The sequence below is a fragment of the Homo sapiens genome, chromosome 2, assembly GCF_000001405.40.
Source record: "Homo sapiens chromosome 2, GRCh38.p14 Primary Assembly".
NCBI classification, from domain to species: domain Eukaryota; kingdom Metazoa; phylum Chordata; class Mammalia; order Primates; family Hominidae; genus Homo; species Homo sapiens.
This window is the reverse complement of record NC_000002.12, coordinates 202460425-202486847: the sequence shown is the minus strand read 5'-3', so window position 1 is coordinate 202486847 and position 26423 is coordinate 202460425. Positions and strand designations below refer to the sequence as shown.

General features: G+C 41.2%; 1 protein-coding gene across 2 annotated transcripts in view; it reads right to left on the bottom strand.

Annotated features, from left to right (window-relative positions):
* Positions 1-26423, bottom strand: part of BMPR2 (bone morphogenetic protein receptor type 2) — a 191423-nt gene that overhangs the window by 80902 nt on the left and 84098 nt on the right. For both annotated transcript variants that reach the window (NM_001204.7, XM_011511687.2), the window contains exons 2-3: positions 21869-22039; positions 19159-19329 (exon numbers count right to left, since the gene is read on the bottom strand). In NM_001204.7, the coding sequence (NP_001195.2) occupies positions 19159-19329; positions 21869-22039 (342 nt within the window). The remainder of the gene's footprint in view (positions 1-19158; positions 19330-21868; positions 22040-26423) is intronic.

Here is a 26423-nt window from a genome sequence, read left to right as displayed (position 1 = left end):
CACTATATTGCCTAGGCTGATCCTGAACTCCTGGACTCAAGCAATTCTCCTGCCTTGGCTTGCCAAAGTGCTGGGATTATAGGTGTAAACCACCATGCCCAGTCTTAAAGTTCTTTATTCTAAGTAGAATGGTCCATATAATTCATTCTGAAGATGAATAAAAATTGAAATAAGACTACGAACATGTGCAATAAGCCTTTAATGTGTCTTTTTTTTTTTTTTTGGAGACAGTCTTGCTCTATTGCCCAGGTGCAGTGATGCGATCTCGGCTCACTGCCAACTCCACCTCCCAAGTTCAAGCAATTCTTGTGCTGTAGCCGCCTGAGTAGCTGGGACTACAGGCGTGCACCACCAGGCAGGCTAAGTTTTTTTGTATTTTTTAGTAGGGATGGGGTTTCGCCATGTTGGCCAGGCTGGTCTCAAACTCCTGGCCTCAAGTGATCCGCTTGCCTTGCCCCACCAAAGTGCTGGGATTACAAGCGTGAGCCACCCTGCCCGGCCTGTCTCATTATTTTGCTATTTCAAAATAATACAAATATTTCAGAACTCATGTTGATAGGTAAGTAGACAATTTCAAAAGAGAGACACTAATTCTGTGTCTGTTTTCTACTTTTCTGTATGACATTATGCCTTCCATTAGCATGGAGAAGTAAGGCAATATATGTTCTAAATATCCTTTCTTTCTTAAGACAAGCATTCCTCCTCCTGCTGGGAAAGGGATGTGAAAGTGTATGGGGGCATTTTTTTTAATTGTCATATTAGGGTTAGAGGGCTATTGGCATTAATGAGTGTAGACCAGGAACTTTAAAATCCTTCAATGCTTGGGATGGTCTGGTACAACTGATGTTTTATCCTAAAGGCCAATGGCAGTTCTTTAGAGAACTGCCCTTGCCCTCACCCTAGGCACTAAGCCCTCACTTAGCAATTAAGGATCTTGAGATCATCCTGCATATGGTGGTTCCTGAATTCAAGGACAGATGTCCTTATAAGATAAAGGCAAAGGGGCTGGGTGCCCTGGCTCATGCCCGTAATCTCAGCACTTTGGGAGGCCCAGGCGGGCGAATCACTTGAGGTCAGGAGTTTGAGACCAGCCTGGTCAACATGGTGAAAGCCCAACTCTACCAAAAATACAAAATAAGCAGGCATGGTCGTGTGCAACTGTAGTCCCAGCTACTCAGGAGGCTGAGGCAGAAGAATCCGTTGAACCCGGGAGGCAGAGGCTGTAGTGAGCTGAGATCACACCACTACACTCCAGCCTGGGTGACAGAGTGAGACTCTGTCTCAAAAAAAAAAAAAAAAAAAGATAAAGGCAAAGGGAGATTTGAGACACATAGAGATGAAGGCCATGTGAAGGCAGAAGCAGAGATTAGAATTACGCAGCTACAAACCGAGGAACACCAATGATTTACTGAAACCTGTCAAAGCTAGGAGATCTCAAGGCATGTAACAGATTCTCCTTTACAGCCTCCAGAAGGAACCAACTCAGCCAATACCTTGGCTTTAGACTGCTGGCCTCCAAAGCTGTCCAAGAACAAATTTCTGTTATTTTTAGTCACCCTATTTGTGATAATTTATTATGGCAACCCTACAAAAAAAAGTTTCAGGTAAAAACCAGTCATACTTAGGATCACTAAACACATCTTAAAGTTCTATAATTAAAAAACAGAGGCATTAATTACCATTTATATTATTCAAAAATAATTAGAAACTATTAGGGCATTGGCTGGGCGCAGTGGCTCATGTCTGTAATCCCAGCACTTTGGGAGGCCGAGTCGGGAGGATTGCTTGAGCCCAGGAGTTCGAAACAAGCCTGGGTGAAAGAGTGAGACCTCATCTCTATTTTTTTTCTTCTTTCTTTCTTTTTTTTTTTTTTTTTTTTGAGACGGAGTCTCACTCTGTCGCCCAGGCTGGAGTGCAGTGGCACGATTTCGGCTCACTGCAAGCTCCACCTCCCAGGTTCATGCCGTTCTTCTGCCTCAGCCTCCCGAGTAGCTGGGACTACAGGCAACCGCCACCACGCCTGGCTAATTTTTTGCATTTTTTTTAGTAGAGACGGGGTTTCACCGTGTTAGCCAGGACGGTCTCGATCTCCAGACCTCGTGATCCACCTGCCTCGGCCTCCCAAAGTGCTGGGATTACAGGCGTGAGCCACCGCGCCCAGCCTTTTTCTTTTTTGAGACAGAGTCTCGCTGTGTCGCCCAGGCTGGAGTGCAGTGGCGCGATCTCGGCTCACTGCAACCTCCGCCTCCCAGGTTCACGCCATTCTCCTGCCTCAGCCTCCCCAGCAGCTGGGACTACAGGCGCCTGCCACCAAGCCCGCTAATTTTTTGTATTTTTAGTAGAGACAGCGTTTCACTGTGTTAGCCAGGATGGTCTCGATCTCCTGACCTCATGATCCACCCGCCTCGGCCTCCCAAAGTGCTGGGATTACAGGCGTAAGCCACCGCGCCCGGCCTTATTTTTTTTCGGAAGGAAGGAAAGAAGGAAGGGAGGGAGGGAGGGAAGGAAGGAAGGAAATATTAGACACTGACACTGAACAGCATATTATAACACAAAGCCTTGATTTTTAAACAACAGACAAGTATTGGGGGAACAACCAAAGTGATGTGTTTAGAATATCTGTGCTGTTTAAAGTAGTTCCTGTAACAGTTGAAAATGAGAAATACAGATGCTTCCCGACTTAAAATTTTTTGACTTTACCATAGCTTAAAAGCAATGTATAGAAATCTTACTTCAAATTTTTATCATCTTCTGGGTTAGTTATATAGAGTAAGATACTCTCTCATGATGCCTGAGTGCAGTCACACCTCACTGCAGCCTCAAACTCCTAGGCTTAAGTGATCCAACTGCCTCAGCTTCTGGAGTAGCTAGGACTATAGGTGTGCACCACTATGCCCAGCTAACTTTTCTTTTTATTTTTCAGAGACAAGGTCTCACTATATTACCCAGGCTGGTCTCAAGTTCCTGGCATCAAATGATTTTCCCACCTCAGCCTCCTGAAGTATTGGGATTACAGGCATGAGCCACTGTACCCGGTCAAAAGAACACATTCCTGAGTAACAAGTTCCAATACCAAATAAAGAATTACCTCTTGCAGGCAGCAAAAGAATAGATAAATTGAACTACATCCAAAGTAAAAACTTTGGGCTGGGCGTGGTGGCTCATGCCTATAATAGATCCCAGCACTTTGGGAGGCCTAGGTGGGCGGATCACTGAGGTCAGGGAGTTCCATACCAGCCTAGCCAACATGGCAAAACCCCATCGCTACCAAAAATACAAAAATTAGCCAGATGTGGTAGCACACACCTGTAATCCCAGCTACTTGGGAGGCTGAGGCAGGAGAATGGCTTGAACCTGGGCGGGTAGGCGGGGTGGGGGGCGGAGATTGCAGTGAGCTGAGATGACACCATTGCACTCCAGCCTGGGCAACAGAGTGAGACTCCATCTCAAAAAAAAAACAAAAACAAAAAAACAAAAACCAACCAACAAACAAAAACAAAAATAAAAACTTGCACATTATGGATACAATCAAAAGAGTGAAACGGCAAGCTATGGGAGAAAATATTTGCAAATCATATATCTGATAAGTGGTTAATATCCAAAATATATAAAGAACTCCTACAACTTAACAACATAAAACAAATGACCCAATTAAAAAATGGGCAAAGGACCTGAATAGGTATTTTTCCAAATGGCCAACAAGCACATAAAAAGATGCTCAATATCTCCAATCATTAGGGAAATATAAAACAAAACCACAATGACATTCCACCTCACACCCATTAGGACAGCGACTATTTAAAAAAAATAACAAGTGACGGCAAGAAGGTGAAGAAACTGGAACCCTTGTAGGTTCTCAAAAAATTAAAACTAGGCCAGGCGTAGTGGTTCACGCCGCACTTTGGGAGGCTGAGGTGGGAGGATTACTTGAAGCTGAATGTTCACGACCAGCCTGACAACATAGTAAGATCCTATCTCTAAAATAAAATTTAAAAATTAGCCAGGTAGCAGCCGGGTGTGGTGGCTCATGCCTGTAATCCCAGCACTTTGAGAGGCCGAGGCAGGTGAATCACAAGGTCAGGAGTTTGCAACCAGCCTGGCTAACATGGTGATACCCTGTCTCTACTAAAAATACAAAAAAATTAGCTGGACATAGTGGCGGGTGCCTGTAATCCTAGCTACTCAGTAGGCTGAGGCAGGAGAATCGCTTGAACCTGGGAGGCGGAGGTTGCAGTGAGCCGAGATCGTGCCACTGTACTCCAGCCTGGGCGACACAGTGAGACTCCGTCTCAAAAAAAAAAAAAAAATTAGACAGGCATGGGGTCATGTGCCTGTAATCCTAGCTACCCGGGAGGCTGAGGCAGGAGGATCATTTGAGCCCAGGAGTTCAAGGTTACAGTGAGCTATGATCGTGCCACTGCACTCCAGTCTAGGCAACAAAGCAAGACCCTGTCTCTTAAAAAAAATTAAAAATAGCATTTTTATCACATGATTCTGCAATTCTATTTCTTGGTATACATCCAAAAGAATTGAAAGCAGGGTCTCAAAGAGATATTTGTATACCTACATTCATTGGAGCTTTATTCATAATAGCCAAGAGGTAGAAGTAACTCAAGTGTCCACGATGGATGAATGGATGAATAAATGTAGTATTTACGTAAAATGGAATATTATTCAGCCTTCAAAAAAATTCTAACACATGCTACAAGATGGATGAACCTTCATGACACTATGCTAAGTGAAATGAGCTAGTTGCAAAAAGACAAATATGATATGATTCTACTTATATGATATACTTAGAGTAGTCAAATTCATAGAGACAGAAAGTAGAGGGTGGCTGGAGGGCCTGAGAAGAAGGGGTAATAGTGAGTTGTTATTTAATGGGTATAGAGTTTCAGTACTTGAAGGTGAAGAGTTCTGGAGATTGGTCGTACGACAATAGGAACTATACTGAACTGTACACTTAAAAATGGTAAGACGATAAATTTCACATTTTGTGTATTTTACCACAGCTAAAATTTTTACAAAATAATTTATTGTAACGTACATACACTACATGCAGCTGTCTTGACTAAGACAGAAAACACTGCTCTGAAAAATAATTAGGAATAAATTTAACAAAAGAACTGTAAGGCTTGTACACTGAGTAAACTATAAAACATTGTTGAAATAAATGAAATAAGGTCTAAATAAATGGAAAGATATCGTGTTCATGAATTAAGAGACTTTCTATTGTTAATATAGCAATACTCCCCAAACTGCCTATCAAAATCCCAGTTGTCTTTTTTCAGATATGGAAAACTGATCACAATTCATATGGAAATGCAAGGAACCCAAAACAGCCATAATAATCTTGAAAAAGAAAAACAGGCCAGGCACGGTGTCTCTCGCCTGTAATCCCAGCACTTTGGGAGGCTGAGGCAGGCGGATCAGCTGAGTCAGGAGTTCGAGACCAGCCATGGCCAACATGGTGAAACCCTGTCTCTACTAAAAATACAAAAATTAGCTGGGCATGGTAGTGCAAGCCTGTAATCCCAGCTACTCGGGAGGCTGAGGCAGGAGAATTGCTTGAACCTGGGAGGCGGAGGTTGCAGTGAGCTGAGATCACACCATTGGACTCCAGTGTGGGCAACAAGAGTGAAACTCCATCTCAAGAGAAGAGAAGAGAAGAGAAGAGAAAAGAGAAGAGAAAGAAAAAGAAGAACAAAGTTGGAGAACTCAGCTTTCTCTATTTTAAAACTAATTACAAAGCAATAGTTATCAAGACAGTGTGGTCCTGGCATAAGGATCAATGGATCCTTGACATATTGATGAATGGAATAGAATTAAGAGTTCAGAAATACACCTTTGCACTTACGGTCAATTGATTTTTTTTTTTTTTTTTTTTTTTTTTTAGACGGAGTCTCGGTCTGTCGCCCAGGCTGGAGTGCAGTGGCACGATCTCGGCTCACTGCAACCTCCACCTCCCAGATTCATGCCATTCTCCTGCCTCAGCCTCCTGAGTAGCTAGGACTATAGGCACATGCCACCACGCCTGGCTAATTTTTTTGTATCTTTTAGTAGAGATGGGGTTTCACCGTGTCAGCCAGGATGGTCTTGATCTCCTGACCTCATGATCCACCCGCCTCGGCCTCCCAAAGTGCTGGGATTACAGGCATGAGCCACCGTGCCCGGCCTGTCAATTGATTTTTGACAAGGATACCAAGACTTTTCAATTGGGAAAAATAATATTTTCCACAAAAGATACTGGAAAACTGGATATCAAACAAAAGAATGAAGTTGGACTCCCTACCTCATGCCATATACAAAAATTAACTCAAAATGGATCACAGACCTAAATGTAAGAGCTAAAACTATAAAACCCCAAGAAAAAAACACAACAGCAAACCTTTGTGACTGTGTATTAGAAAATGGTTTCAGGTTGGGCGTGGTGGCTCACACCTGTATTCCCAGGACTTTGGGAGGCCGAGGCAGGCAGATCACCTGAGGTCAGGAGTTTGAGACCAGCCTGCCCAACATGGCAAAACCCCATCTCTACTAAAAATACAAATGCTAGGCATGGTGGCAAACACCTGTAATCCCAGCTACTCGGGAGGCTGAGACAGGAGAATAGCGTGAACCCAAGAGGTGGAGGTTGCAGTGAGCTGACATCGCACCACTGCACTCCAGCCTGGGCGACAGAGTGAGGCTCCATTTAAAAGAAAAAAAAGAAAAAGAAAAAGAAAATGGTTTCAGAGTGACAAAATAAAAAAAGATAAATTAGACTTCATTAAAAATGTCAAAACTATGTACCTCAAAGAATACCACCAACTAAGTAAAATGACAAGCCAAAGAATGAGACTTGTATCTACTATGTAAAAAGAACTTTTACAACTCAACAATAAAAAGACAAATATGCACAATTTTTATATGGGCAATGGGTTTGAATTAACATTTTACCAAATAAAATATACAATGTTTAAGAAGCACAGGAAAAGATGCTCATCACCATTATTCATTACGGAAATGAAAACCAAAACCATAATGAGATATTACATCATACACATTAGGATGACTATAACCAAAAAGAAACTGGTCACTATTTTCAAGTAGAGAAAGGTTAAAAAATTGGAAATGAAAAGAAAATAATTGAAAGTTGGGAGGAAAGAATAAAAGCTGCCAAAGGTTAAAACACAGTAGTGCTTATTACTGCACACCCCATCTCAAGCATGTGTTTGGAGGTTTTAATGTGTAAATACAAATACTTAACTGTATTATGTGCCACTCTGGTGGGAATGTTGATAATGGGGGAGGCTATGCATGTGTGGGAGCAGAGGGGAGATAACGGGAATTCTCTTCTTTCCTCTCAATTTTGCTATCAACCTAAACTGCTCTACTTTTTTTTATTAAAAAAATTTTATTATCTCACAGTTTCTATGGGAATCTACATACTGTTTATATAAGTGCTCTGCCAGGATCTTTTACAAGACTGTAATCAGGGTGTAGGCTGGTGCCATAGTCATCTCAAGACTCAACTAAGACAGTATCTATCGCTGAGCTCACTCAATAGCTGTTGGCAGGGTTCACAAATTGTTGGACTATGGGCCTCAGTTCCTTGCTGGGTATTGGCAAGTTAGCTGACCTCAGTTCTTTGTCAAGTGGCCCTCTTCAACAGAGCAAGCACAAAAGAAGAGCCAGAGAGAACACATCAGCAAAATAACAGTCATGGTCTTTTAAAACCTAATTACAGAAGTGATATACCATCACTTTTGTCTAATTTGTTAAAATCAAGTTATTAAGTCTAGCTCACATTCAGAAGGACAGGATTACACAAGGGTGAGAATACCAGGAGGCAGGGATCATTGGGAACCATGTCAGAAGCTGCCTACCACAATATATACACTTTTGATTTTTTTCTTCTTTTTTATTTTTATTTATGGTTTGAGACAGGGTCTCGGTCTGTCACCCAGGCTGGAGTGCAGTGGTGTAATCATGGCTCACTGCAGCCTCGACTTCCTGGGCTCAGGTAATTCTCCCATCTCAGCCTCTCAAATAGCTGAGACTACAACATGCACCACCACAACTGGCTAATCTTTTTGTTCTTTCATTTCGTTTTGTTTTTGTAGAGACGGGGTTTTGCTATGTTGCCCAAGTTACTATTGAAACTGCTGGGCTCAAGTGATCCACCAACTTCAGGCTCTCAAAATGCTGGGATTACAGGTGTGAGCTGCCATGCCTGGCCCTTCTTAGAGCGGTCTTGCTTTGTTGCCCCACCTGGAGTGCAGTAGAGTGATCATAGCTCAGTGTAGCCTTAAACTCCTGGGCTCAAATGATCCTCCCACCTCAGCCTTCCAAACAGTTGGGACTACTTTGGAAGTACGGGCACATGCCACCATGCCCTGTTAACTTAAAAAGAGCCTCAAGTCACAACGTTCTGTCAACCCATTCCAAATACATAGCCTTCTTTTATGTTTTTCTGTTTAAAGACAACTTATTTAACATACTGTATATGGTTGTATATGGTTGACTCATTGACACTTAACTCATGGCCAACAGCACTATAACTCATGCCTGAATGAATTTTACCTCACACACGTATTTCTCCTGAAGGTGTATCACAGCCTTCTTGTTCTTTGGAATACTAGACAGCACTTTGGCACCACTCTTGCAGGCCATTTCAAACCACAAAAGCAACAAAAAGCATAAAAATGCAAAAGAATACCACTAAATAGACTGAAAAAGATACTTGTTTACAGTATGACAACTGAAACAAGAAGGCAGAGCATAGCCTTCTTCAACCTAAGCTAGGAACGTGCACCTTGGGTGACTTGAATTTTTTGCCACTCTGTGCATGTCTAGGAATAACCATGAAAGCACTGTGAATATTGGTTTTGGGGTTACAAATACATTTTAGCAAGTAAAAGGGGGGCAAAACGGAATTCAGGAACAATGAGGATCCACTGCCTCTTACTTATTGCTAAACACTTTTACAAATATACAATTGGAGGAAAAAAGGCAGAATATCTGGTTTTTCAGGAACAACTTCCTATAGCTTTTATTATTTATTTATTTATTTATTTTGGAGATGGAGTCTCACTCTGTCGCCCAGGCTGGAGTGCAGTGGGGTGAATTCAGCTCACTGCAACCTCCGCCTCTTAGGTTCAAGCTATTCTCTTGCCTCAGTCTCCCAAGTAGCTGGGACTACAGTCACCTGCCACCATGCCCAGCTAATTTTTGTATTTTCAGTAGAGGTGGGTTTCATCATATTGGCCAGGCTGGTCTCAAACTCCTGACCTTGTGATCCGCCCGCCTTGGCCTCCCAAAGTGCTGGGATTACAGGTGTGAGCCACCGCTCCCGGCTTAGCTTTTATTTTTTTTCTGTGTATGAAAGATGCAGGAAATAGTATGTGTTCTGTTTCTCAAGTATAAGGACATAGGAAACAACAAATATCATAGGAAACTCAATAACAATCCTTCAAATTAAAAAAAAAATCACAGAATATAGGCTTTCATACATAATAAATAAAAATTAGCAGAAAAGTATCCTTTATGGTAAAAGGAAAATGATATGGGGGAGGATGTTTGTAATAGTTTCTAAAATGACTTAAAGACAGTTATTTCCTAAGAAAGTAACTGTTATTTATTGAATGTCTTCTCTATGTGGGCACTTTAGTGTATTATCTTGTTTAATCTAAACACCCACATAAATTGGATACTATTATTTTGCATATGAAGTAATTGATGCACAGAGGCTAAATAATCTGCTCAAGGTTATGTTTAGCAAGTTTAACAGCAAGGTTTTTAACCCAGGCACTACGACTGATGACCTATGCTCTTAATCATTACACTATATAACATTCCAAACAATCAAGTGAAACCTTATGCTTCTCTCCCTCAAATTATCCTTTTTTTTTTTTTTTTGGCAGTTGATTAAGCTAATTTCATATTACAGCTAATACAAAATGTGTTGTTTTTAATGAGACATTTTGAGAAGTGCTCAAAACAGTATATTGAAGTTGTCCGTGTATTCTTAGTCAAAGTTGTGTCTGTTCAACTATTATTTAACTTATTTTATTTATTTTTTTTGAGTCTCGCTCTGCATCCCAGGCTGGAGTGCAATGGCGCAATCTCAGCTCACTGCAACTTCCGCCTCCCGGGTTCCAGCAATTCTCCTGCCTCAGCCTCCCAAGTAACCGGGATTACAGGCGCATGCCACCACACCCAGCTAATTATTTTGTATTTTAGTAGAGACGGGTTTCATTGTGTTACCAAGGCTGGTCTCCAACTCCTGAACTCAGGCAATCCACCCGCCTCGGCCTCCCCAAGTGCTAGGATTACAGGCATGAGCCACCGCACCCAGCCTATTTAACATTATTTTAAAGATGCTTGTTACTCAAATCATGGCTAGTCTCATCTTGGTTTTGAATGTATTTTAAATGTTTCCATGTATCTATGACTCTATTATAGTACGTCTGTATCTGAAACCACTAAATAATTATTAGATGGGTAATTAGTTTTTGCATATGAAAATACGCAGAAAATGCTCAGTAATCAGAGAGCACATTATAAGGAAATGAGACACAGTTAAGGCAGGAAGAGAGGGACACATGGAATTGGAAATCCTAAAAAGACAATAAAAATTGCAGTTGTTGAAATAAAGACATGGAAATTATTTCATAGTCTGCAACCAATTCTGTCTAGTATTTCAGAAGATATTTATTAAACACTGGTCAATTCCACCATACATGCTTGGGACTTAGATTTTTTTTTTTTTTTTTTTTTTTTTTTAACCTTGAGACAGAGTTTCACTCTTGTTGCCCAGGCTGGAGTGCAATGCTGCAATCTTGGCTCACTGCAACCTCCGCCTCCCAGGTTCAAGCGATTCTCCTGCCTTGGCCTCCCAAGTGGCTGAGATTACAGGCATGTGCCACCACGCCCGGCTAATTTTGCATTTTTTTTTAGTAGAGACGGGGTTTCTCCATGTTGATCAGTCTGGTCTCAAACTCCTGACCTTAGGTGATCTGCCCACTTTGGCCTCCCAAAGGGCTGGGATTACAGGCGTGAGCCACTGCACCCGGCCGGGACTTAGATTTTACAGACGAAAAGCTTCCACTGAGTTTATCAGTAAAAGCCAGGTCAGTTAACAGGTTTTGCTTTGTTCATCAGGCAAATAAGTAATGTAAAATTTTAAAAACCCCAACATGAAAAAGGATTACTTTTTGAGAGAAGAGGAGCAAGGTAGGTAGGTAGGGTAGATACGGGATAGAGGCTGGCATTCAGAAGTGCAGAGCTAGCAAAACTTCAGAATGAAAACTGTCTGATGAACAATAAATAATGTGTAAATGGAATTTTGTTACTACTGCATTAAAGAATTAATATTTTCCTAAAGGATGCAACCTTATATTTCTCTTATCCTGTGCCTTCTACATTAATATATATTTTTTAATTTTTTATTTTTGTGGGTACATAGTAGGTATATATATTTATGGGGTACGTGAGATGTTACACTAGTATTTTGAAAAAGTATAAAAATGTGGCCGGGCGTGGTGACTCACGCCTGTAATTCCAACACTTTGGGAAGCCGAGGCAGGTGGATCACCTGAGGTCAGGAGTTCGAGACCAGCTTGGCCAAACTACTAAAAATACAAATACAAAAAACCTGCACTCCCACCTGGGCAACAGAACGAGACCGAATCAAAAAACAACAACACAAAACAAAAACCTGACAACTATGAAACATATATAGTAACCTGGAAAATATTTATGTTAAACAAAAAGGCAGGATCTAAAATGGATGTATATTACAAATACAGCTACGCAAAAATAAAAGAGAAAAGACTGGAAAGAAACATTCTAAATATTAACAATGGTTGTATATGGGTGTAGAGACTATTGGAGATTATTTTTTTCCTTGCTACTTATGTCATTTTTCTCTTTTTCCAAATAAACAAGCAGGTTATTGGTTACACAAATAATACATGAATATATTCTCATTTTAAATTAAAGATTCAAACAATACAAAACTATAGGAATAATAAGTGACCTTTCCAGCAGGCGCGGTGGCTCACGCCTGTAATCCCAGCACTTTGGGAGGCCGAGGCGGGCGGATCATGAGGTCAGGAGATCGAGACCATCCTGGCTAACACGGTGAAACCCCGTCTCTATTAAAAATACAAAAACAAATTAGCCAGGCGTGGTGGCAGGCGCCTGTAGTCCCAGCTACTCAGGAGGCTGAGGCAGGAGAATGGCGTGAACCCGGGAGGCGGAGCTTGCAGTGAGCCGAGTGAGCCACCGTACTCCAGCCTGGGCGACAGAGCGAGACTCCGCCTCAAAAAAATAAAAAATAACCTTTCCACAGTCTTCCCACACTACCCACTTTTTTGTTTTGTTTTGTTTTTGGTTTTTTTTGAGACGGAATCTCTTTCTGTTGCCCAGGCTGGAGTGCAGTGGCACGATCTCAGCTTACTGCAACCTCCGCTTCACTTCCCAGGTTCAAGAGATTATTCTGCCTCAGCCTCCTGAGTAGCTGGGACTGCAGGCACATGCCACCACACCTGGCTATACTTTTTGTATTTTTAGTAGAGATGGGGTTTCGTCATATAGGCCAGGCTGGTCTCGAACTCCTGACCTCATGATCCACCTGCCTCGGCCTTCCAAAGTGCTGGAATTATAGATGTGAGCCACCGTGCCCGGCGATCCACTTATTTCTTTGCTAAGTTTGCACAGTTTTTAGTAATTTTATTTTTTATTTTATTATTTTTGGTGAGACAGAGTCTCGCTCTGTCGCCCAGGCTGGAGTGCAGTGGCATGATCTCGGCTCACTGCAACCTCTGCCTCCTGGGTTCAAGGAATTCTTCTGCCTCAGCCTCCCGAACAGCTGGGACTACAGGGGTGTGCCACCATGCCCAGCTAATTTTTGTATTTTTAGTAGAGATGGGGTTTCACCATATTGGCCAAGCTGATCTTGAACTCCTGACCTCATGATCCGCCTGCCTCGGCCTCCCAACGTGCTGGGATTACAGGCATGAGCCACTGCGCCTGGCTATTTTATTTTATTTTATTTTATTTTATTTATTTTGAGACAGTGTCTCACTCTGTCGCCCAGGCTGGAGTGCAATGGCACAATCTCTGCTCACTGCAACCTCCGCCTCCTGGGTTCAAGCGATTCTCGTGCCTCAGCCTCCCGAATAGGTGGGATTACAGGCGCCCACTACCACACCCAGCTAATTTTTTCTATTTTTAGTAGAGACAGGGTTTTTCCATGTTGGCCAGGATGTCTCAAACTCCTGACCTCAAGTGAGCCGCCCGCCTTGGCCTCTCAAACTGCTGAGATTAGTGGCGTAAGCCACCGCGCCTGGCCAGTTTTTTGTAATTTTAAAATGTGTTTTTGTTAAAATTTTTATGTTCATTTTTTTTTAAGACAGGTTCTCACTCTGTAGCCTAGGCTGGAGTGCACTGGCGCAATCTTGGATTACAGCAACTTCCGCCTCCCAAACTCAAGTGATCCTCCCATACTCAAGTGATCCTCCCATCTCAGCCTCCCAAGTAGCAGGGATCACAGGTGTGCGCCACTATGCCCAGCTAATTTTTGTATTTTTGGTACAGATGGGGTTTCTCCATGTTGCCCAGACTGGTCTCAAACTCCTGGGATCAAGCGATCCCAAAGTGCTGGGATTACAGGCATGAGCCACTGTGCCCTGCCATAATGAAAAATTTTAAAGGAGAAAAAACTCACCATCACCAAACTTTCTATTTATTGTTATATGGCCATGAGCAAAAGTTCTGTTTCTGATTTTTATATTTTCTTTCTTTAAACTTCAACAAATAAAATTATTTTTATTTTGGTTAAACACCTAGCAATTGCAGACTAAATGTCTGACATTTGATATTACAGTAGTTATTTTTCTTGAGGTTAGTGCAAAAGCCAAAACTGATCTTGTTTGCCAACTTTAACTTCACTCAATTTTTTTGTCTCAAGAACAAAATATATAAATTGAGTTAATGCTTCCAAATTAGAGCGCTTTACTTAAAACACTTTCCCTTTTTATTGCAATAGCATTACTGATTCCTAGCTGGCAATATTCCTACTTTTGGGTCAAAAGGTTATAGTAAACTAAACTAAGACCTAGGTAACAATCTGAAATGTAAGGCAGCTGTAAAGATCTTTGAGGATATGTATGAACAAATTCACTTTCTCTCTTTCTTTTTCTTTTTGAGACGGAGTCTCTGTTGCCCAGGCTAGAGGGCAGTGGTGCAATCTCGGCTCACTGCAATCTCTGCTTCCTGGGTTCAAGTGATTCTTCTGCCTCAGCCTCCCAAGTAGCTGGGATTACAGGCATGCGCCACCATGCCCGGCTAATTTTTGTATTTTTAGTAGAGATGGGGTTTCACCTTGGTAGCCAGGCTGGCATGGAACTCCGGACCTCAGGTGATCCACCCACCTTGGCCTCCCAAAGTGCTGGGATTACAGGTGTGAGCCACCGCACATGGCCACTTTCTCTCTTTCATCTAGCTAGAAGTACAAGTGAAAATTAGAGACTTTGTTTTGTTTGTGAAAAATAAATGTATCCAATTCAATACAATCTCCTAATAGAAGCTAATGGCCTTCAATAGGTAGAAACTACAGCTATAAAGAAAATTTCCTATTGCTTTCAGTTTAGTGCTTCATCAACAAATCAAAGGAAATAATCCAAAACTGATGATCCTAGAGTATGGTCTGTTATAATTGGTTGACTAAGAAAATTCTTGAGATGTGCTATATTTTAACTTTTTAAACTTTAAAAATTGTTTAAAATTTTTATTTGGAAATAATTTAAACCTTACACAACAGTCACAAGAATAGTACAAAGAATACACCATATACTTTTACCCAGATTTACCTATTCACCTACTGATACCATTTTACTGTTTGCTTTTATTACCTCTTTCTACACACACACACACACACACACACACAATCTTTTTTTGAACCAATACACAGTAGAATCATGGTCCTTTATTCTTAAACACTTCTTAGATTATTTCCTAAGAATATGGTTATTCTCTTATAAAACCACAGTATTATCAGCTTCAGCACATTTAACATTGAAACAACATTTTTCTCTAATCATCATGTCCTTTATCACATTCTTCTCATCCAGTAAAAGACAGGCACTGCCTAGTCGTCCAGTCTTTTTTGCTTCCTTTGACCTAGACCTTTCCCACAGTCTGTTTTATATGACATTCGCATTTTTGAAAAATGCGATCCCCCTTTTTGTAACAGAACATTCCTAATTTGGGGTTTGTGTGATATTACCTCATGATTAAATTCAGGTTATGCATTCTTGACTGGAATATAGTACTATATTAGTTATGTGTCCTTCTCTAGGTATCATGGATTTCCATGTGTCCTTCTTTAATAATGTTAACTTTTATTACCTGGTCAAGGTGTCCATTTTTCCCATTTTATAATTACTAACTTTTCCCTTGAGATATGTGGAAGGCATGCAAATATCCTGGCTCCTCATTGAAACTGCCCCTAGATTTAGGATCCTTTGATGATTCTTGCCTGATCCAATCCTTAACACAATGGTTGCAGAATGATAAGCTGCCAACTCCAGCAATCCTACATTTACCAGTTGGCACTTGACATTCTACTCATGATTCATTTTCCTTCCAGTGGTTCACAGTTCATTAATGTACTTGTTTAGCACTCAAATTGACCCAGATTTAGCCAGTGGGAGTTCCTTCCAGCTGGCTCCTGTGTCCTTATGACAAGTCTCCATGATATTTTTAGGTACTTTTCCTTCCTTTTTTTGCTTTGTTTTGTTTTTGAGACAGGGTCTCACTGTCACCCAGGCTGGAGTACAGGGGCCTGATCACAGCTCAATGCAGCCTTGACTTCCCAAGTTCAAGTGATCCTCCCACCTCAGCCTCTCAAGTAGCTGGGACTACAGGCGTGTGCCACACCTGGCTACTTTTTAATTTTTTTTTGAGATAAGGTCTATGTTGCCCAGGCTGGTTGTGAAATTCTGGGATCAAGCAGTCCTCTTGCCTTGGCCTGCCAAAGTGCTGGGATTACAGGCTCTTTCCTTACTTTCTTTTTTTTTTTTTTTTTTTGAGACGGAGTCTCGCTCTGTCGCCCAGGCCGGACTGCGGACTGCAGTGGCGCAATCTCGGCTCACTGCAAGCTCCGCTTCCCGGGTTCACGCCATTCTCCTGCCTCAGCCTCCCGAGTAGCTGGGACTACAGGCGCCCGCCACCGCGCCCGGCTAATTTTTTTTTGTATTTTTAGTAGAGACGGGGTTTCACCTTGTTAGCCAGGATGGTCTCGATCTCCTGACCTCATGATCCAGCTGCCTCGGCCTCCCAAAGTGCTGGGATTACAGGCGTGAGCCACCGCGCCCGGCCTCTTTCCTTACTTTCTTACAAAAATTATTAAAACATTACAAGATGTCCCAGGCTTATCTTGTATCTATCCTGCTCCAGTCTTGGGATAAATCATTTTTCTAAGAAGGCTTCGTTCCTTTTTTTTATTTTTATCTTTTGAGACAGCGTTTCACTCTTGCTGCCCAGGCTGGAGTGCAATGGCATGATCTCGGCTCACTGCAACCTCCGCCTCCCAGGTTCAAGTGATTCTCCTGTCTCAGCCTCCTGGGTAGATGGGATTACAGGCATGCACCAGCACACCCAGCTAATTTTTGTATTTTTAGTAGAGATGGGGTTTCACCATGTTGGCCAGGATGGTCTTGATCTCTTTACCTCGTGATCTGCCCGCCTCAGTCTCCCAAAGTGCTGGGATTACAGGTATGAGCCCCTGCACCCAGCCTCAACTTATTTTCTTAATCCTATAATGCATCTACGATGGTTTCAGAATTGCTTTGCCCACACTACTAAAAGACAAATCTTCTCAAAAGAGTTCAGTATTTGTTTGCAATTCTCCTCCATCCTTTATATCACGTCTTGCACAAGAGTGTATATAGTCAAATACTGTGCTTATAAATCACTTGAATTAGTTCTTTTTCTCTTCAGGGCTTTTTTTCCCCCCCTTATCTTTCAATAACTTTGGTATCAGGGTAGTTATTATAGTAATATGAAATACAATTGGGGCCGGGCGCGGTGGCTCAGGCCTGTAGTCTCAGCACTTTGGGAGGCCGAGGTGGGCGGATCATCCATCTGAGGTCGGGAATTTGAGACCAGCCTGGCCAACATAGCGAAACCCCATCTCTACTAAATATACAACAATTAGCTGGGTGTGGTGGCAGACACCTGTTATCCTGGCTACTTGGGAGGCTGAGACAGGAGATCACTTGAACCTGGGAGGTGGACGTTGCAGTGAGCCGGGATCGTGCCACTGTACTCTAGCCAGGGTGACAAAAGCAAGATTCTGTCTCAAAAAAATAAATAAATAAAATAAAAATAAAATTGGGTTCATTTATTTCAGTTTGCGTATACTGTGAAGAATTTTTCTCCTTTCCATTGTTAGGTACTTAATTTTGTTTGCTTACGTAGAATAGTGACACGATGCCAACAGTAAAAACTACATACAAAAAGCTACACTCAGGCCGAGTACGGTGGCTCACACCTGTAATCCCAGCACTTTGGGAGGCTGAGGCAGGTGGATCACCTGAGGTCGGGACTTCGAGACCAGCCTGACCAACATGGAGAAACCCCGTCTCTACTAAAAATACAAAATTAGCCGGGCGTGGTGGCACATGCCTGATCCCAGCTACTAGGGAGGCTGAGGCAGGAGAATCGCTTGAACCTGGGAGGCAGAGGTTGTGGTGAGCCGAGATCGTGCCATTGCACTCCAGCCTCGGCAACAAGAGCGAAACTCCATCTCAAAAAAACAAAACAAAACAAAACCAAAAAATAAACAAAAACCAAAAAAAAAGCTACACTCAGAGAACATTCACTCCCTTCCATATTCTTTCTGTCTCATTCCTTGGATCCCTTATAAATAACCAAGTTCATTATTTTCTATTTATTCTTTGTTTCTTTTTTTAAAGGTAAGTCAATAATAGATAGGCTTTTTTATTTTCCTTCCAGTCCTATACAAGACAGCCTACTATATGTACTTTTTGCATCTAATATTACCGGTGAAAATCACTCTGTGCTAGTTCATAGAGATCTTATTTTTTTCTTATAGCTGTATAGTTGGTACTCCATTACATGTATGTACCATAGTATATTTCAACTAATCTCCTATTCTTGGACATTTACTTCCTAATATTGTGCAGTTACAAATAACACTGCAGTAAACAACTCAATGTCTATGTATATTCGTACTATTGAAGATGTATCTTCCAGATAAATTCCAAGAAATATGAAAGCTAGGTGAAAGAGTAAGCACACATGTAGTTGTCTTAACCAAATTTCCCTCCATACAGGTTGTAAAGTACTACATTTTATTTTATTTTGAGACAGAGTCTCGCTGTGTCACCTAGGTTAGAGGGCAGTGGCACAATAGCTGCAGCTTCAACTTCCTAGGCTCAAGCAAATCTCCAACCTCAGCCTCCCAAATAGCTGAACTACACATGCGCACCACCACGCCTGGCTAATTTATTTATTGTTTTGGTAGAGATGGGATCTCACTATGTTGCCCAGGCTGGTCTTCAGTTCCTGGGCTCAAGTGCTCCTCCTGCTCTGGCCTCCTAAAGTGCTGAAATTACAGGCATGAGCCACTGTGCCTGGCCAGTACTATATTTTACCAAAGTTATTTAGTAATATATTGATGCCTTGGAAGTCCTGGTGCATCGCTTTCGGATTTCAGGTGTTTGCCAGATGTAATCTTATGATGCTGGAACTCTACCTCTCACTCCCAACAACTTTGAATTTTTTTTTTCTTTTAGGTTCACTCTTGTTGCCCAGGCTGGAGTGCAATGGTGCAATCTTGGCTCACTGCAACCTCTGCCTCCCGGGTTCAATCAATTCTCCTGTCTCAGCCTCCTGAGTAGCGGGATTACAGGCGCCTACCACTACGCCCGGCTAATTTTTTACTTTTGGCAGAGACGGGATTTCACCAGGCTGGTCTCAAACTCTGACCTCAGGTGATCCATCCACCTCGGCCTCCCAAAGTGCTGGCATTACAGGCATGAGCCATCACGCCTGGCTTCAACCTTGAATGTTTTTTAAGTTTTTTTATATTTTGCAAATCTTTGGAGAAAGGAAATACAAAGAAAAGTTGGTTACTTTACTTACTGAGTGGTGTTGTGTCAGGAGGTGGAAAATTCTCAGTAAAGTTGACATTACATAAATCTGTGCTACAACAGCAGAAACGGTATGTTCCATTCTGAATTGAGGGAGGAGTGGTAGTTACTACACATTCTTCATAGTGACACTCTTGGGGATCTCCAATGTGAGACCAACATCCTATAAATCAATATGAATACAAAAAAGGAGACAATATGATAAAGAAAACTAAGAGAAAAACAACAAACTAAGCAGTAATTTCAATAAATGTGAGAGTACGTGTAAGCTATGAAACAGTTTTGCAAATCAACAGGAAACATATTTTTAAGAAACAGAAAAATGGTAAAGGATACCAAAGACATTTCATGGGGGGGAAAAGGCCACCAAAAAAGGTTTAACTGCATGATTAATCTAAGAATTATTTATTTATTTATTGAGGCGGAGTTTCACTCTTGTTGCCCAGGCTAGAGTGCAATGGCACGATCTCAGCTCACTGCAATCTCCACCTCCCGGGTTCAAGCGATTCTCCTACCTTAGCCTCCCGAGTAGCTGGGATTACAGGCATGTGCCACCACCATGCCCGGCTAATTTTGTATTTTTAGTAGAGATGGGGTTTCTCCATGTTGGTCAGGCCGGTCTCAAACTCCTGAGCTCAGGTGATCTGCCTGCCTCGGCCTCCCAAAGTGCTGGGATTACAGGTGTGAGCCACTGCACCCAGCTAATCGAAGAATTATTAAAGCAAGAGTAAGGTTTCATTTTTGTCTATACCAAATATATTGTTTTAGGTTTAAAAAATAATATGGCTGGGCACGGTGGCTCACGCCTAGAATCCCAGCACGTTGGGAAGCCAAAGCAGGAGGATCACTTGAGCCCAGGAATTTGAGACCTGCCTGGGCAACGCAGCCATACCACATCTCTACAAACACTTAAAAATTAGCTGGGAATGGTGGTGCCTAGTTGTGGTCCTACTGACTTGGGGGGATTGCTTGAGCCCAGGAGGTCAAGGTTGCAGTGAGCCATGAATGTGCCACTGCACTCTATCCTGAGCGACAGAGTGACATTCTGTCTCAAAAATACAATAACAAATAAATAAATAATATATATCAGAAAAATGGCTGGGCACGGTGGCTCACACGTGTAATCCCAGCACTTTGGGAGGCCGAAGTGGGCGGATCATGAGGGTCAGGAGATCGAGACCACCCTGGCCAACATGGCAAAACTCTATCTCCACTAAGAATACAAAAATTAGCTGGGCGTGGTGGTGCGCACCTGTAGTCCCAGCTACTTGGCAGGCTGAGGCAGGAGAATCGCTTGAACCCGGGAGGCGGAGGTTGCAGTGAGCCGAGATCCCACCATTGCACTCCAGCCTGGGTAACAGAGCGAGACTCCATCTCAAAAAATAAAAATAAAAAAAGAAAAATGATTCAGTAACACAGACACGTTCATACAGTGTTGGAGAGAATATAAATGAACAGTACTTTTAGAAAGCCACATGGAAATTTTTATACAGTCTTTAAAATATTGATATATCTTATAACCTAATAATTCTACATCAAGGGATCTATTTCAAGAAACAATCACATACAATCAAAAAATTATGTTTAAAGTTGTTCACTGAACAACTGTGTTTCACTATGCATTACAGTGAAAACATGAAAATAACATAATGTCTACCAATAGAATAATCTGTAAGTAAACTATGATACATATATACAATGATATGTTGTGCAAAAGTTAAAAAGGTTTTCAGAGATTCTTTAAAGACATGGAAAAATGCTTATAATTAAGGTGGAGAAAACTGGATATGAAATTGTTTATACAGTATGTTCCTAATTTTTTTTTTTTTGAGACGGAGTCTCGCTCTGTCGCCCAGGCTGGAGTGCAGTGGTGCGATCTCGGCTCACTGCAAGCTCCGCCTCCCAGCTTCATGCCATTCTCCTGCCTCAGCCTGTAGCTGGGACTACAGGCGCCCGCCACCACGCCCGGCTAATTTTCTGTATTTTTAGTAGAGACGGGGTTTCACTGTGTTAGCCAGGCTGGTCTCCACCTCCTGACCTAGTGATCCACCCGCCTCGGCCTCCCAAAGTGCTGGGATTACAGGCGTGAGCCACCACGCCCGGCCAGTAAAAATATTTTTAAAGAGTATATTATTGTAGACTTTTGTTTTCTTTGTAGTTCTCTATATATTCCAAAATTCATAGAACGGGCATGTATAACATTATAAGAAAGATGTTTTAAAAATAATCTAAAAATAAATAGCCTTTTATAAATTTGGGGCTTGTGGAGATATACACACACTTTTTTTTTCTTTGAGATGGAGTCTTGCTCTGTTGCCCAGACTGGAGTGCACTGGTGACATCTCAGCTCACTACAACCTCTGCCTTCCAGGTTCAGTGATTCTCCTGCCTCAGCCTACTGAGTAGCTGGGACCACAGGCGCACACCACCATACCCGACTAATTTTTGTATTTTTAGTAGAGACGGGGTTTCACCATGTTATTACCCAGGCTGGTCTCAAACTCCTGGCCTCAAGTGATCCGCCCACCTCAGCCTCGAAAAGTGCTGGAATTACAGGCATGAGCCACCACACCTGGCTTTATATATACACTTTTAAATTCACTGTTTTTCTGAACAGGATTTTAACATACTCCCATGTCCTTTTTAGATAAATATCAATTGTATAAAACACAGTCATTTCAGGTAAGGAAAGTATCACTTGCCTTGTTTTACAAGATTTATGTCCCCTTTTGATTTCTCCCAAAGGCCATAGCAGGTGCTACCTTTCGAGCATAATATTGTCCCATTTTCATGAGAGATTCTACTCTCACCTATCCCAAGGTCTTGCTGATACGGATCTTTAAACGCACATAGCCGTTCTTGATTCTGCGAAGCTAAAATAAAGGAAATAAAGGAATGACAAATTATTTAATGTTTTCAAAATATTATATAAAATCTTTGTCTTATCCGAATGACTTCATAAATTTCCCTACTAAATTATTTGAACTGAAATCTTTACATAAATTTCTAATTTTACATTCAATGACGTTCTTCTGTTCATGAATTCATTTGTAAACTCCAAACAAGAAGGAAATTTTAAAATTCTCATTTCCCAAAAGCAATCCCCTCGTACTCAAATTATTCTCACCACTCTTGCTTCTATTAAATAATTTTGGTGTCCAAATAAAAAATATCATCAAAGAAAATGTCCATGTTCAAAATTACCAAGTCTTCAAAACAAACCTAGAAGGCTGAATAATTCTGGAAATTGCATAGTACTTACTTTTATCATATTTTATAGTCAGTTATACAAAGTTACATACATAATTAGGTATGGTAAACTAATGATACAAAGAGTAACTATGAATGGGTACATGGTTTCTTTTTAGGGTATATATATGTTCTAAAATTAAACTGGTAACCATTGCACAAGTGTGTACATTTGCAAAAAAAATAACTGAATTGTTCACTTAAATTGAGTGAACTTCAGGTATAAATTATACTTCAATAAAAAAAAATTCTTTTTTTTTTTTTTTTTTTTTTGAGACAGAGTTTCGCTCTTGATGCCCAGGCTGGAGTGCAATGGCACAATCTCGCCTCACCGCAACCTCTGCCTCCTGGGTTCAAGCGATTCTCTTGCCTCAGCCTCCTGAGTAGCTGGCATTACAGGCATGTGCCACCACGCCCGGCTAATTTTGTATTTTTAGTAGAGATGGGGTTTCTCCATGTTGGTCAGGCTGGTCCCGAACTCTCGACTTCAGATGATCCACCCAACTAGGCCTCCAAAAGTGCTGGGATTACAGGCGTGAGCCACCATGCACGACCAAAAAAATTACTTTCTGTTATTCAAATTATCAATATAATAACCAGAAAAAGAAATGCTCAATAGACTTATCCTAAAAGGACAACCTAATGTACTTTTAATGCCAATCTTTCTCCACACACATAATCCGATTTAACTAATTTTTGTAGAACATTTGCCACATAATTTATCAGCTAATAAATATTTACCAACATTGCTGAGAATACTAAAGTAAAAGGTTATCGAAAGCAATATCTGATCTTTAATTTCATTTCTTACAGTAGGCTTTCCTAATGTGTTTGATTAGCTAAAATAATAGTCTAATACACTTGGCCAATATATTCCTTGGGGGCTTCTGACTTGTTTCTTTATTTTGGATGTGTACCTTTAGTATGGCTTAATTCATACGCACCATAGCACTGAGGCTGATTTATTTAAATAATGTTTCTGAACAAAACTAATAACTAAATTCTGGAGATGAAATTAACCAACAATAATAAGAAAACTTAAAAATTTTGTAGATGCTGGTCTTTTATCAATAGTTTAAATATTCTAGACATGATTCATAGGATTAGAACACTGAAAAGAACTTTAGTGTCAGCCGATCAATCTGTCCATTTTATAAATGATTATATAGTGAAAAGCTTCACTCATACCCTTGTTCCCATTTGTCTATTCCGATGTTGCCCTCCTTCCACCCCAGGAAACCACTGTTCTTGGTTACTCAGGCATCCTTTCAAACTTTACCATTATATATTTTCTAAATACATAATATTTACATATTTATAAATGAAGAGATTGGGTTAAGTAAAGACAATGCATAAAAATAGAACCTCTTAAAGGAGTTTTGAACATAAAACTGGTAATACAACTGAAAAATCCAATGTTGGCCAGGCACAGTGGCTCACACCTGTAATCCCAGGCACTTTGGGAGGCCAAGGCAGGCAGATCAACTGATGTCAGCATTCGAGACCAGCCTGGCTAACATGGTGAAACCCTGTTTCTACTAAAAATACAAAAAATTAGCCGGGCATGGTGGTGTACGCCTGTAATCCCAGCTATTCAGGAGCTGAGGCAAGAGAATCACATGAACCTGGGAGGTGTAGGTTGCAGTGAGCTGAGATCGCACCACTGCACTCCAGTTTGGGCAAAAAGAGCAAAGCTCCATCTCAAAAAACAAAAACAACAACAACAACAACAAAAAACAAAACCATAAGGGCCTGTGGATAGTTCAGCATTTAAAAAAAAAGTATAGTTAAAAAAAAAAAAAGGTACGGGGTGGTTTATCCCAGATATGCAAGCCTGGTTCAATATTCAAAAAATCAATTAACGTGCTCTATTAACACCCTGAGTACAAATTAATAGATAAACAGTGGTTACTAGCCTGGGCACGGTGGCTCACGCCTGTAATCCCAGCACTTTGGGAGGCAGAGGCTGGCAGATCACGAGGTCAGGAGTTTGAGACCAGCCGGGCCAACATGGTGAAACCCCGTCTCCACTAGAAATACAAAAATTAGCTGGGCATGCAGGCGCATGCCTGTAATCCCAGCTACTCAGAAGGCTGAGGCAGGAGAATCAGTTGAATCCGGGAGGCAGTGAGCTGAGACCACGCCACTGCACTCCAGCCTGGGCGACAGAGCAAGACTTCATCTCAAAAAAAAAAAAAAAAAATAGTGGTTCCTAATTTTGGCAGGACTGCATGCAAGGGAGAAGAATTTGGAAATGTGTGGAAGTGGTATTTTACTTTGTTTTGGTTTACCTGTCAAAATGCCTGAAGCATTTTCACTGGCTTTTAGTCCAGTCCCCAGGAGAATTAAATATTCTAATATACAAATAGCTTTGCAGGTGGAAAGACCATCTCTTCAAAATGCTACCCCAACCACATACGGGAAACAACAAAGAAAATGTATACTACACACATATGTAACAAACCTGCACGTTGTGCACAGTACCCTAGAACTTAAGGTATAATAATAATAAAAAAAGAAATTGAATGATAAAAAAAGAAAAAAGTATATTACGATTTCTTACCTTTAAAAAGATAAGAAAAATACAATAAAATATAAATTATGCAGATATGTTTGTGGAATAACTAAGAAAATGTCAAAGGGATGTCATTTTTTCTTTTTTTCTTATCATTAGCTAAACAACTGAATCCAGTCAATTCTTATTCTCAATTGAACTGCTGCTTCTGATTTAAAACTCTCAATTTTCTAGCTTCCCCTTCTTCCTGGAATTATCATTTTTGTTCAAAACTGTTTGCACAGGTCATTATAAGCATTATATTTTTGGAGGTGAAGCTTGATTTTAGTTCCTTTTCAACAACCTAGGAAGGTTAGACTAATTACACATGCTTATTGATGTTCTTTTATTCAACAAACATACTAGCATGTATCTAAGTATTGTTCTTTTTTTTTGAGACGGAGTCTTGCTCTGCTGCCCAGGCTGGAGTGCAGTGGCATGATCTCGACTCACTGCAACCTCCGTCTCCCGGGTTCAAGCCATTCTCCTGCCTCAGCCTCCCAAGTAGCTGGGATTACAGGCATGCATCACCACGCCCGGCTAATTTTGTATTTTTAGTAGAGACGAGGTTTCATGTTGGCCAAGCTGGTCTCAAACTCCTGACCTCAGGTGATCCACCCACCTTGGCCTCCCAAAGTGCTGGGATTACAGGCATGAGCCACTGCACTTGGCCTGTTCTCTTTTTATTATATGTGTTTTTGATAATCAATACTTTCAATATAAAAAGTTTGGTGTGGCCGAGTGCAGCGTCTTGTGCCTGTAATCCCAACACTTTGGGAGGCTGAGGCAGAAGGACTGCTTGAGGCCAGGAGTTTGCACCAGCCCGGGCAACACAGTAAGGTAACCACAAGGAATTAAAAAATTTTTAAATATGGTAGTGCATGCCTGCAGTCCCAGCTACTTGGGAGGCTGAGGCAGATGGATAGCTGGAGCCCAGGAGTTCAGGGCTATGGTGAACTATCGCACCACTGCACCCTAGAGTCTGGGTTACTAGGGCAATACTGTAGCCTATCCTGGGTAACAGAGTGATACCCTATCTCTTAAAAAAAAAAAAAAAAAAAGTTTGGTCTTTTCTCAGGTCAGGAAAATAATATTAATGTATGCTCTGTTAACTGTTTTCATTCATTTTTCTTATGTCTTTTTTTGGAAATGATGACATGGATCCATATTATATTATGGATATATGATTATGGATCCATGGTCTCCAAAATCAGCACATTCTCTTTTATCGTTCTCATTGTTTCCTCTGCTTCTGTGAGAGTTTCTCAAGGTGTTCTTCCAATCCTCTTATTCAATTTTGTACTACAATGTCTGTTCTTTACTTCCTTTAGCACTAATTTTATTTTTTCTATTGAATTTTTAGTTTAGCTTGAAATCCTTCAAGATATCAGTACAGTATGTTCTTCTTCTCTGTTTAAAAAATATTCTTAAAGTTTTCTTTTTCTCCATAGCAT